The sequence below is a fragment of the Homo sapiens genome, chromosome X (assembly GCF_000001405.40).
Source record: "Homo sapiens chromosome X, GRCh38.p14 Primary Assembly".
NCBI classification, from domain to species: Eukaryota; Metazoa; Chordata; class Mammalia; order Primates; family Hominidae; genus Homo; species Homo sapiens.
This window is the reverse complement of record NC_000023.11, coordinates 133,425,165-133,438,546: the sequence shown is the minus strand read 5'-3', so window position 1 is coordinate 133,438,546 and position 13,382 is coordinate 133,425,165. Positions and strand designations below refer to the sequence as shown.

Below are 13,382 nucleotides of genomic sequence, written 5' to 3'. Positions count from 1 at the left end.
TCTAAGATTTCTGTTGAAATCTTAACATTTAGCCAGGCTTAGCTAGCACAGTGGCTCACGCTGTAATCCTAGCACTTTGGGGGGCTGAGGCTAGGGCAGGTCGCTTGAGTCCAGGAGTTCAAGACCAGCTTGGGCAACATGGAGAAACCCTGCCTCTACAAAAAAATACAAAATAATTAGCTGGGTGTGGTGGTACACGCCTGTAGTCCCAGCCACTCAGGAGGCTGAGGTGGGAGGATCACCTGAGCCTGGGGAGGTCGAGGCTGCAGTGAGCCATGATTGTGCCACTGCATTCCAGCCTGGGTGACAGAGTGGGACTCTGTCTCCAAAAACAAACAAAAAAAAAGAAAGAAAGAAAGAGAAAGAAAGAAAAAAAATTCTTGTTTTTTTCTTAGAACAAGAAAGAAATCTTAATATTCATTGAGCACTTATGTTCCAGGGGTGTGCTGAGTCTTGCTGCTTTGATTTTGGTCCAGGTTCTTGAAAAGGCTTTGCAAATTGTAAATAGATTACTCCTCCCCTCCCCCAAGGTAAAGTATTATTATTGAAAGTAGTATTCAAAAGTCCTGAACGCTTTCTTTGTAATGAATACTCATTTGAAGGCTGAATACATTTAAAGCTTAGATGGAACACAGGATAGCTCTAAATCTGCCTCTTTAAACGCACATGTCCAGGTTGTGTCAATCAGGAGGGAATGGCTGAATTCTGCTTTGTGAATAGCCACTCTTTCTAGGGAATGATGATTTGTGTGGGGTCACAGGTCAAGAATGCTAATTTCATGTCTTTTGCTCTTACAGTACCTTTAGGGGACTGGCAAGCTAGTGAAAAATGGTTTGTAGTTTTGTAAACATGTTGTATTTCCTTGCCAAGCTTGCTTGGTGGCAGATCTTCCTTGGGGCAGAGGAATGGACTTGCCTTGGAGAGTTGCTGAACAGATGGAATGCAGGGCCTGCCTGGCACCCGGAAAGTCCAACACCAGAAGGAAGGGCCAACACCTGGAGTGTCCAATTCCCTGAGGGCCAAAGCAGGAACATCTTAACTTACTCCAGGAAGTGCTGGGACGGGAGCCACGCCCCAAGCAGGAGACCAGCTTGGGGGCTCCTACTTTGATTTCTAGAGAAAGAAATCCACATACGAGAGCAGGGTCTGGCAGTGGCCCTGGAGCCAAAAGCCACTGAGCTTAGGATGTCAGGGTCTCACATGTAGTCGCTTTGAATCATGAGCAGTCGGGGCTTTGGTTTCGCAAATTTTGGCAAAGAAGCAGGATATGTGGTTAGAGAGACTAAATCAGAAACTTAAACAATTCCCTGCTTGGAGAACTCATTACCTTAGCAGGCAGCCTATTTAAATTGTAACGGCTCTAATGGGTTCGAAAGCTCTTTCTTAGATAGAGGTGAAATCCGCCTCCTTGGACCTTCTCCCCTTTGTTCCCAGCTCCGCCTTTAGGAACCACACGGATTAAATCTGTTTCCTCTTCCCCCAACAGACCTCAGCAATGTTGTTTTCCCACTCTCAGATTTGGTTGGGCACCTGCTATGGTCATATTCAGTTGGTTAGATGTCTTTCCATCCTTAGGATTCTATGTAGGGAGGTAAGTGATCCTAAGCGGGATATGACAGTCCCTAAGTCACATAGTATCCCAGTGGCTCTACTAGGAATGCCTCCTTACTCCAAGTATGCCCTCTTCTATCCCCTGCAGACAAAAAGGCTGCCCTGAATTTCCATTATCCACCAGACAGACAGTTGTGCTTTTTTTTTTCCTTGAGTCGAAGCCTCCCTCTGTCGCCCAGGCTGGAGTGCAATGACACGATCTCAGCTCACTGCAACTTTCGCCTCCCGCATTCAAGCGATTCTCCTGCTTCAGCCTCCTTAGTAGCTGGGATTACAGGCGTGTGCCACCATGCCCGGCTAATTTTTTGTATTTTTAGTAGAGACAGGGTTTCACCATGTTGGCCAGGCTGGTCTCGAACTCCTGACTTTAAGTGATCTACCTGCCCCGGCCTCCCAAAGTGCTGGGATTACAGGCGTGAGCCACTGTGCCTGATCGACAGTTGTGCTTTGGCTAACCTGGGAAATGAATCCCTAGCCAACAGAGGCAAATATCATATAAAACCCCATAGAGTCAGTGCCTCTGCTGTGGCGGTAGGAGCAGTAATCAAAAGGTGTTTACAGTATTACATGCATTTTAAAAGGTCGAGTTTTTCAAAATATACACCCACCCTCCATCTGCTTCACCCTCACTCCCTTTGGCTCCCATCACTCTTAACAGGCAGTTTGCTGTCAATTGCACAGAAGGTAATCTGAGCACATGCTGTAGAGGCAATTACATGTAATCTACTGGTGGAGATGACTGAGCCACCCCCGGTGCCACCTCCCCCAAACCCCCATCTCCTCACTGCCTGGCTTTCCCTCCTGAACTGCCCTTGGCAGCCTTGGATTCCGGTTTCTTTGGCTCTGTCTGCACCAGCCAGCCAGCCAACCAGCCAGCCACAGTCATCAGTGAATGCCACTTAATACAACTTAAGCTGGAGCTTCTAACTAGCCTGTTGACCATGTCTCCAAGGTCAGCCAGCAACTTCTGTTGAGGCCCTGCCCTGTGCTAGTCTCTGTGAGAGCGAGAGGGAAACAAAAGAAATCAAAGCCAGGGGCCCTTGTCTCCCATGAGTTTACAGGCCTAATTAGCGATCTCCAAGCGGCTCTCTTGAGAAAAGCCTTAAGGACACTTACAAAACAACTTACAAGTGGGTATAATAGGGAGGGGAGTGAGCCTAGGGGAGAGTCTAAGTTCCTTGAGGGGAGGGCCCGGCCTTTGTGTCCTCCAGGGAAGGGCCTCTCCACTTCCTCATTAACCTTTTGTCTGGAGCAATTACAAAGAACTTTAGACTGGCCAGTCACTTTCTCTTTCTCTCTGGTCTCAGGCTCAAGGATCAAGTTGACAAATATGGGGACTTCATTGACTTCAGATGGGGGAATTTCAAAATCTCGCCAAGATGACTGAACAGGCCTTTGATGTAATGTATATCCATTTGGAGCTCAGCATTCCAGTCAAGGGGAGGAAGGATAAAGCTTTCCTCTTGAGCGTCCTCCCCCATCATCTTCTGCTTTAATATAATAATAGAAGTACTCATAATAATAGCAGCTGCTAGGCTAGGTATGGTGGCTCATGCCTGTAATCCCAGCACTTTAGGAGGCTGAGGTGGGAGGATTGCTTGAGCTCACAAGTTCCAGACCAGCTTGGGCAACATAGCGAGACATCATCTCTACTAAAAACAAAAATAAAAATAAATAGCTGGGTGTGGTGGTGTGCTTCTGTAGTCTCAGCTACTCAGAAGGCTGAGGCGGAAGGATTGTTTGAGCCTGGGAAATCAAGGCTGCAGTGAGCTGAGATTGTGCCACTGCACTCCAGCCTGCTGGGTGACAGAGCAAGACCCTGTCACAAAAAAAAAAAAAAAAATTTTATATCTATACATACGCTTCTAATTATTGTATACCTATTCCATGTCGGGCACTTTACCTATATTATCTCACTTAATACAACTTCACATATCATTATTCCAATATAATTTTTTTAAGTTAAATGACAATATTCATTATTTTTATTCTTTTTTGAGACAGGGTCTCACTCTTACCCAGGCTAGAGTGCGGTGACATGATGTCGGTTCACTGCAGCCTCAACCTCCTGAGCTCAAGCAATCCTCCCACTTCTGCCTCCAGCCTGTAGCCTGAGACTGAGGCAGGAGATTAGGGTCTGGAGGCAGAGAACCTAAGGCCGTTTCACACTGACTTCCTAGAACAATTTAGTTAGAAAGGAAAACCCTAACTATCCACTCCTGAGTAACAAAAGGACCAGAGGCTACTCTCTTTGCAAAGCCCCGCCTTTTCTGCACTGGCAGATGGGAAATTGAAAGAAACTTTGTAACTTCACTTCAGCCTCTGATTGATTGCTGTATCCAACCAATCACACTGATTGCAGGCCAAGAATTCATTTGCATAGAAGTGCAACGTTGTAACTTCACTTTAGCCTCTGATTGGTTGCTTCCTGCAACCAATCAGATGTTTGCATAGGAGTGTGTCCTTTGTAACTTCACTTCAGCAGAAAGCAGAATGTAGAAAGCAGCCAATCAGAATGATTGCAGGCCACCACTTCATTTACATGGAGTGAACACCAGGTGGCCAATGGGAAACCTCTAGGGGGTATTTGTACCCGAGAAGATTCTGTATCTGGGGCCCTTAAGCAGCTGCTCTGGCCTGCTCCCACCCTGTGGAGTGTACTTTCATTTTCAATCAATCTCTGCTTTTGTTGCTTCATTCTTTTCTTGCTTTGTTTGTGCATTCTCTCCACTTCTTTGTTCAAAACGCCAAGAACCTGGACACCCTCCACCGGTAACAGGACTACAGGTCATCTGATTTTTGTTGAGAAAAGGGGATTCGCCATGTTGCCCAGGCTGAGATATTGATTATTTTCAAATACAAAATGTTCATTATGTTAAATGAACATTTTGTATTTGTTCAAAAACAATAATCTGCAAAAACAAGAAGGCATTCTTCCACTTGGCTTGGCAGTGATGAAAACTTACCCAGTGTTCTGAGTCCAATCTGGAGCCCTTCTGTGAGGTGGTGAAAAGAAATTCGAAGAGGGCCCTGAAGAAAACACCAAAGGCATGAAAAGTTCTGAATATACCAGTGAGATCCTGCTGTAAGACTTCTCATCACAGCCCCATTTCCCTATAGCAAAATGCTGTCTAAACCTCTAGGCAGTGGCACGTTTATTTAAAGCAATGTTTAGATCAACAGAAATTGAGATAGTCCCTGCATGTTTTTTCAAAAAAAAATCTGTATGACCCATTAGGGTAAAAAAAAAAAAAGTGGCGTAAGCTAATATTTACTAATATTTATCATCTGTACACTATGTTCAAGATACCTTTAATCTTCACAGCCAACTTTTGAGGAAGATATTATTATTATTATTATTATTATTATTATTATTATTATTATGAGATGGAGTCCCACTCTGTTGCCCAGGCTGGAGTGCAGTGGCTCAATCTCAGCTCACTGCAACCTCCACCTCCCAGGTTCAAGCAATTCTCCTGTCTCAGCCTCCTGAGTAGCTAGGATTACAGGTGTGCACCACCATGCCCAGCTAATTTTTTTTTTTTGTAATTTTAGTAGAGGTGGGGTTTCAAGATGTTGGCCAGGCTGGTCTTCAGCTCCTGACCTCTGAATGCTGGGCTTACAGGCGTGAGCCACCACACCCAGCTGGAAGAAGATGCTATTTTTATTCTCATTTTACAACTGAGGAAACTGAAGCCTAGAAAGGTTAAGTAACTTTCCCAAGGTCACATCTGGACAAAATGGCAGAGCAAGGATTCAAACACAAGTTTGTCCAATCTCAAATCGAATGTCCTTTCCATTACATCACATTGCCCCCTTTCAGTTAATGAGAAAACCCAGACTAGGAGAGAACTGAGGGCCAATCTCAGTTTATCCAGCCTATCCTCCATCTGTCGAGCCCCAGGCAGAGTACTGAGCTGCTCCTTATCTCCTGTGGGCCAGTGGAAGAGCCCACGGTCCTAAACTGCAATAGGAAGACTCTTCAGTCACTAAGCTTCACCCCATTGAAAGGGCAGTGGTTACCCAGGCTTGAATTGGCACTGAAACAGCAGCCCTGTCCAGGCAAGACACCTGGGCTCACTTTGGCCTAATGTGGGCGAGTCCCTCTGCAGCTTGCTGCCACGAACTCCAGGCCACACACAAGGGTGAGGAGGCCCACCCTCCCCCGGCAAACCCCGTGGAAGCTGGGGGAGCCCTTCCTGCCTGTCAGGCTGGGTGAACCCCAGGCCAAGTTCCCAGCAGGGCTGGTAGCCTCTCCCTCTCTAGGAACCTCTAGCCACCTGTTTGAGGTGTCTTGTCCTGGACCTGCCTGGCAGCATAAGACTGGATCTGGCAACTCCCTGAAGCCCCTTGCAGTGCAGTGAGACAGCTCCCAGAAAGCTCCATGGCCCTGAGGGCCAGGTAGCCTCGCTAGGGCCAGAGAGGAAGCTGAGGCTGGTCCATATGATATTCAGCCCAGGAGGCAGCTATGCCAGACGGTGCAGCCAGAACAGTGGGCCACCGTCTCTGTCTCTATTGCTTCTCTTTATGCATAATGGATCATGATTAGAATACTTGGAATGTCTGTGGGGCCTGTTTTCCAGAAGCTCAAAGCCCAATAGAGTACTTGAGTTTCTCAGTCAGTCTCACACACAGAGGCACACACACACTTTAAAGAGCAGGCCAAAAAGTGTTATAAATAAAATTCTAGAACATGAGTGGGAGGAATAAACAGGAGAATTTCACTGTAAGAGATGAAAATGCACCAACTCCTTGTGGATGGCTTCCCTCTGACAACCCACAATTGTGCTATTAATCTGAAACAGGCCTAGATATATTGTTGCTTTGCTCAGGTTTCTCCTTCTTCTCCCTGTCAATACATGTGTTAAAGATGGTGTAAATACAGTTAGTTTTCCAGATAAAGCTAACCGTAAGAGAAAGAACGTAGTCTTCATTGGCACAGTAAGAATATAACCCAACTGGTCACACATCATCAAGCCTGCTTTCCTTCCAACCACACAGGGTTCTACGCTGCCAACCCCTAGGTTCTGCTCACTTCCTCCTCTCACTCCCTCTGTGTCCACTCTTCCTCCAAGCTAAAGTGTCTCCCAGTCTCCTCTCTCTGCCCATCCTCAAATGTTCCTCATCCTCTAGGCCAGGAATGTTCAATCTTTTTGCTTCTCTGGGCCATATTGGAAGAAGAATTGTCTTCGACCATGCATAAAATACACTAACACTAACGGTAGCTGATGCACTTAAAAGTTTTTTCAAAAAAAATCGCATAATGTTTTAAGAAAGTTTATGAATTTGTGTTGGGCCGCAAAGCCTCCGTGGGCTGCGAATTGGACAAACTTGCTCTAGACCTTTATTCAAGGCATTCTATTTATCTGGTATGCCCTCAGCCCTCTTCCTACCCCTTCGAGGCCTCTCTGGTATGAATAACTCCCCTTGCCTGAGCCCATCCACAGAAAGCCCAATGACCTCACCCCTCCTCTGACCATGAGGACCACTGGCTATCTGAATCTAACACACACTGCCTGCCTTGTGAATTAATGTTTAGGTCTCCACAAATAGTGGATGCTCTTGCAGTACAGGCCAGGGCTGGGTTTTTTTCCCTAATCATAGTATATGCTTGTGACGTGACTTTTTTTCAAAACTTCAAAAGCAAGGTGTTGTCCAGGAGTTGATTCTGGTTTTGATGACTTTAACTGAAACATCATTTGTCTTACTAAATGGCTGTGTACATGATTCATAACTCCTGTGACAATTCCTATATCAGTTTATTCCTCCCTCCTTCTTCTCTCCTCCTTCCCACCTCCCACCCCCAGTTTTTTGGCTAGTGTTCATGGTGGGCTAAATGATTCCTATTTTTCAGGCCAAGGTAGCATTTTCTAAAATAACACAAGAGCCAGCTCCATAGCTCTAGAACTTCTTTCAACTCTTATGTTCCCCAAGCTAGGAAATACACAGAGAGGTTGCTAGCAAGTAGAAAGATGTTTTAGTTAGGAATCCACAAATTAGAAATAAAAGAGTTCATGGAAAAAGACTGGTTCTGGAAGGCTCAGAAGAACTCTTAGAGAATCTGTTAAATCATATTTTTGTCTGCTGTTTGTAAATGTGACTCGCTTTGAAACCATCTGTTATGCAGTCCTTTGGAGAGAGCTGAGAAGTATTTAAATCTGGGAAAATGAGTATATTTTTGTATCTACCAAAGAAATGTTTTAATGGGTCCCTGCTGCATGTTGTCCGGTGCATTCTTTGAAATGTGATTTTATCCAATTGTCAAGTAACATTTAGAATGGAATTCAAGGAGGGGATGTGGCAGTACACAGTGCACAGAGGGGCTGCTGCAGTTTGCAGTGTAGTATGCTTTCACGGAATGAACAGAGGGCCTGCAAGGCAGGTGGTACAGCAGTGTTTCTTCACGGGTGCAGAGTGGGGTCAAAGCTTTTGCTGCTGCTCTCTCAGTTTAGGGAAGCAGCCATTCCCCAGGTTGGGGGAGGACCTAGGACAGCTGCTCCTTAACCCCTAGCAAACAGTTAGCTTTGTGCAGCCAAAATTGGGCATTGCTGACAGCTCCGCAATTCAACCTTTATAACATTTCTGTTTTCACTACTGCCTTCGGTCCCTATGGCTAATATCACCAACTGAGCAGTGCCCAAGACGTCTAAATTACTGGTGTAGCAGCAGCTGTTACAGTAAGGAATTCGAAAATCATCGAAAAGGCTTCCTCATGTTGTATGGAGAAGGTAGACTCAAAGAAAAACTCCTTTTTCCAAACACCTGTAAGATTAATTTACTGGTGTTGCACACATGCTGTTGTGGACCATCAATTGTCTCTTGGTGGGGCATGTCTTGGCTGCCCAGTAAAATTGTAAGCCTTTTGAGGGCCAGGATCATGTCTAGTGCAAAAATTGAGTGTCAGAGCTGGACAGAACTTCCAGAGTTCAAATACCAGAGATGAGAAAATTGGGGACAAGAAAGTGGTAAGTGGCAGAGTTAGAACTGAATTGGAAGCCATAGGACTCACAGCCCAATAATTTCACATCATGCCAACCTCCAACATTTGCTACTGACAGACTACTCAATGACTGCCCCACAGAGGGAAACAGGATAGAACTTTCACTTATAACACCCAGACACAATCCATGAGAAAGAAAGTGTGTCAGTCATGCACAGTGGCTCACACCTGCAATCCCAGCCCTTTGGGAGGCGGAGGCAGGAGGATCGCTGGAGTCCAGGAGTTTGAGACCAATCTAGGCAACATGGGGAGACCCTATCCTTACAAAAATAAAATAATAAAAATTAAAAAAATTAGCCGAGCATGGTGGTGCATGTCTGTAGTCCCAGCTACTCAAGAGGCTGAGGTGAGAGGATCACTTGAGCCCAGGAGTATGAGGCTGCAGTGAATTATGATTGTGCCACTGCACTCTAGCCTGGGTGACAGAGACAGACTGTGTCTTTCACTATTTTAAAAAAAGTATATCAACAGGCCAGGCACAGTGGCTCATGCCTATAATCCCAGCACTTTGAGAGGCCGAGGTGGAAGGATTGCTGAGGTCAGGAGTTCAAGACCAGCCTGGGCAACATAGTGAGACACTGTGTCTACCAAAAAAAAAAAAAAAAGATCTGCACGTGGTGGCATGCACCTGTGGTCCCAGTTACTCTGAAGGATGAGGTGGGAAGATCACTTGAGCCCAGGAGGTTGAGGCTGCAGGGAGCCATGATCCTACCACTGCACTCCAGACTGGGTGACAGAGTGAGATCCTGTCTCCCCCTGTCAAACAATGTATGCTAACACAGGGCACGGTGGCTCACACCTGTAATCCTAGTACTTTGGGAGGCTGAGGCGGGCAAATCACCTGAGGTCAGGAGTTCAAGACCAGCATGGCCAACATGGTGAAACCCCATCTCTACCAAAAATATAAAAATTAGCTGGGCATGGTGGTGGGTGCCTCTAATCCCAGCTACTTGGGAGGCTGAGGCAGGAGAATCACTTGAAGCCAGAAGGCGGAGGTTGCAATGAGCCAAGGTTGTACCACTGCACTCCAGCCTGGGCGACAGAGTGAGACTCCATCTGAAGAAAAAAATAAAACAAAAGAAAGTATGCTAATACTACAAATAATTGAAAATTGATACTCAAACAATACACATGCACAAATGTTCACAGCAGCTTTATTCACAATAATCAAAAGGTGGAAAATAGCCCAAATGTCCATCAATGGATGACTGGGTAAATAAAGTATGGTATTTCCATCCATACAATGGAATATTATTCAGCTATAAAAAAGAATAAAGTATTGATTCATGCTACAACTTGGATGAACCCCAAAACATTATGCTAAATGAAAGAAGCCAGACACAAAAGGTCAATATTGTATGACTTCACTATTATGAAACGCCTAGAATAGGCAAATTGATAGACATAGAAAGTAGATTAGAGGTTACCAAGGGTTGGTAAGAGAAGGAAATGGGGAGTTATTGTTTAATGGGAACCACATTTTTGTTTAGGGTGATGGAAATGTTTTGGAACTAATTAGAGGTAGCAGTTGTACAACATTGTGAATGCACAAAACACTCCTCAATTGTTCACTTCGAAATGGTAAATTTTAGGCCCCACAGAGGGAAACGGGTAAATTTCACCTAATTTTTTTTTTTTTTTTTTTTGAGATGGAGTTTCACTCTTGTTGCCCAGGCTGGAGTGCAATGGCACAATCTTGGCTCACTGCAACCTCCGCCACCCAGGTTCAAGTGATTCTCCTGCCTTAGCCTCCCGAGTAGCTGGAATTACAGGCATGTGCCACCACGCCTGGCTAATTTTTTGTATTTTTAGTAGAGACGGGGTTTCACCATGTTGGCCAGGCTGGTCTCAAACTCCTGACCTCAGGTGATCCACCCACCTCGGCCTCCCAAAGTGCTGGGATTATAGGTGTGAGCCACTGTGCCTGGTCTTCACCTCAATTTTTTAAAAAGAAAGAAAATATTTTAGCACCTTAGTTCATTGGTCTAGGCCATGACAACTGCTGATTGCCTCAAATGAAACAGGGTCTTACTGGGATGCAAATAGTGTTGGAAAGCTGATGGTCAGAGTACAGGCTTTAATATCAGAACTGGGCACAACTCTCAGCCCTGCCACTGACCATCTGGGTGCCTATGGCTAGGGATTTAGTCTCCCTGATCCTCAGTTTCCTCCTCTGTGAAATGGGGACCACTTTAGAACTTACTCAGGGGGAAGTCACAAAGATTAAATAATGCATGGCAAGTGTTCAAAAGGGGATACATAATATTTTTAGGGAAGTGTATAGCTGACAAGAGTTCAATAAAGAATAGCTATTATTAAGGGCCGGGCGCGGTGGCTCACGCCTGTAATCCCAACACTTTGGGAGGCCAAGGCAGGCGGATCACAAGGTCAGGAGATCGAGACCATCCTGGCTAACACGGTGAAACCCCGTCTCTACTAAAAATACAAAAAATTAGCTGGGCGTGGTGGTGGGCACCTGTAGTCCCAGCTACTCGGGAGGCTGAGGCAGGAGAATGGCGTGAACCTGGGAGGCAGAGCTTGCAGTGAGCCGAGATCATGCCACTGCACTCCAGCCTCAGCGACAGAGTGAGACTCTGTCTCAAAAAAAAAAAAAAAAAAAAAAAGAATAGCTATTATCTATTATCTAGGGTCTAGCAGCAACCTCTTATACCAGCCTTAAGGAAACATCAAAGGAGTCAAGCCAGTATTGGGCCTTCACAGTGCAACAACTAACAGGAATCAGCTCAGAGTAGAGAACCACCTCAATCAGTTACCTTTAAGCAGTCTGACAGCCAGGCACCCAGCTTCTTCTGACTAGTAAAGATGGGCCACGCCCCCAACAGGATGTGTAGCTGTCATCCCTGACTTTCCTCTCTAGTTCCCAATTAAGGTTTTGTTGTTGTTGTTGTTGTTGTCGTAAATGGAGTCTTGCTCTGTCACCCAGGCGGGAGTGCAGTGGTGCGATCTCGGCTCACTGCAACTTCCACCTCCTGGGTTTAAGTGATTCTTTTGCCCCAGCCTCCAGAGTAGCTGGGCTTACAGGCCTGCACCATGACGCCTGTATAATTTTGAGAACAGGCTGGTCTGAAACTCCTGACCTCAAGTGATCTACCTGCCTTGGCCTCCCAAAGTGCTGGGATTACAGGTGTGAGCCACTGAGCCCAAGCCTAATCAAGTTCTACATTTACCCAATTTCCACTTGGTTCTGCATTCTTGGCTCTGTAGCTGGTAATGTCACCAGTTCCATTCCATGATGCTGTGTACATACAGTCACTTCTCATTATTGATCCTCAGCTCTCCCTCCAGAACTTGATTGCATTCACTCTTCCAGCTCTTCTAGCTTCTGAGCATCCTGCGCAGGCTTTGATAACTCAGCACTGTGTTCTAGTCATCACCCATTACCCGCACTCGCTTGAAAGTCCCGAGATGACAGATGTAGAGAGCAGCTGCTTTGGTAAATGTTTGAGAATTACACAAGAAGAAAGAAGACTTTTGTTTAAGTGAGTTGAGATATGATGCAGGTAAAAGACAGGAAACTTTAGGCACGTAAGAAGAAAGCAAGTAAAAAAAATGATGGCCAGGTGCAGTGGTTCGTGCCTGCGATCCCACACTTTGGGAGACTGAGGCAGGAGGATCGATTGAGCTCAGGAGTTCAAGACCAGCCTGGGAAACTTAGTGAGACCCTGCCTCTACTAAAAGTCAAAAAAAAAAAAAAAAAAAAAGCCCGGTGTGGTGGTGCCCACCTGTGGTCACAGGTACTTGGGAGGGAGACTGAGGTGGGAGGGTCGCTTGAGCCTGGGAGGCTGAGGTTGCTGTGAACTGTGATCACACCACTGCATTACAGTCTGGGTGACAGAATGAGACCCTGTCTCTATAAAAAAGAAGAAAAAGAAGAAAAGTGAGAGCTTTCACTGTCCTGGTAAGCTGGCTAAATTTCGTATTTTTAGTAGAGACGAGGTTTCACCATATTGGTCAGGCTGGTCTTGAACTCCTGACCTTGTGATCCGCCCGCCTTGGACTCCCAAAGTGCTGGGATTACAGGCATGAGCCACCGCGCCAGGCCCTCTGAGAATTATTAAGAAAATGTTGGATAGAATTATCATCGAAAGTCAGACTGGGTGAGAAAAGCTTGCATATATTAGTAGACAGGGACATGGGAAAAGCCAACTCCCTCGTGCTGGTGTACAGCTTGGATTCAGCTACACTCTTGGAATGTCTATCCAGGTTTCATAGTTTCCTTCCTCATTTGAATGCGTTATTGTTGTAGCAGCAGTAACAGCAGCAGTTCCGCAGACATTGCCCATCAGTGTTAGAAAATGACAAATGTCAAACCATGGCTGACCCTCTCTCCAACTCTTTTTATCTGCGGTATCTCTTTGGAATAAAAATGCCTGCTCCCTGCTGGGTCTTCTTAAAAATGCATATTGTCTCTTCACATAAAGGCAAGGATGATGGTGCTATGAAAAAGTAAGAAAAAGAAGAGGAGGAGGAGAAAAGAAGAAAAGGAATTCATTCCAACTCCCCAGGTTTGAAGTGCAAGTCCAAAAAAACCTGTTGGGCTTAATTGGCACTTCATTAAGAACATTTTCATGTCCATTTAAAAAATTCTGTTGCTTTCTGTTTTTGTAACTCAGTTTTCTGATCCTCACTGAAGAGGAGCAAGTTTCATGAAGTTCAGGGCCAGAGTTGGGGGAGGGTGCCCTTTGGCTCCCTGGAGCCCTGGGAGAGTGAAGCTGACACCAGACAGCTTGTCCGCTTTTCCAAATGGGGT

At 45.6% G+C, this 13,382-nt stretch overlaps 2 annotated features.

Annotated features, from left to right (window-relative positions):
• Positions 280-992: an enhancer, noted in NCBI's record as "OCT4-NANOG-H3K27ac hESC enhancer chrX:132571583-132572295 (GRCh37/hg19 assembly coordinates)". NCBI's record gives its function as "activates a minimal SCP1, AML or CMV promoter by ChIP-STARR-seq in primed H9 embryonic stem cells {active_cell/tissue: H9 hESC(primed)}" and the evidence as "EXISTENCE:reporter gene assay evidence [ECO:0000049][PMID:30033119]".
• Positions 3,617-4,168: an enhancer, noted in NCBI's record as "NANOG hESC enhancer chrX:132568407-132568958 (GRCh37/hg19 assembly coordinates)". NCBI's record gives its function as "activates a minimal SCP1, AML or CMV promoter by ChIP-STARR-seq in naive H9 embryonic stem cells {active_cell/tissue: H9 hESC(naive)}" and the evidence as "EXISTENCE:reporter gene assay evidence [ECO:0000049][PMID:30033119]".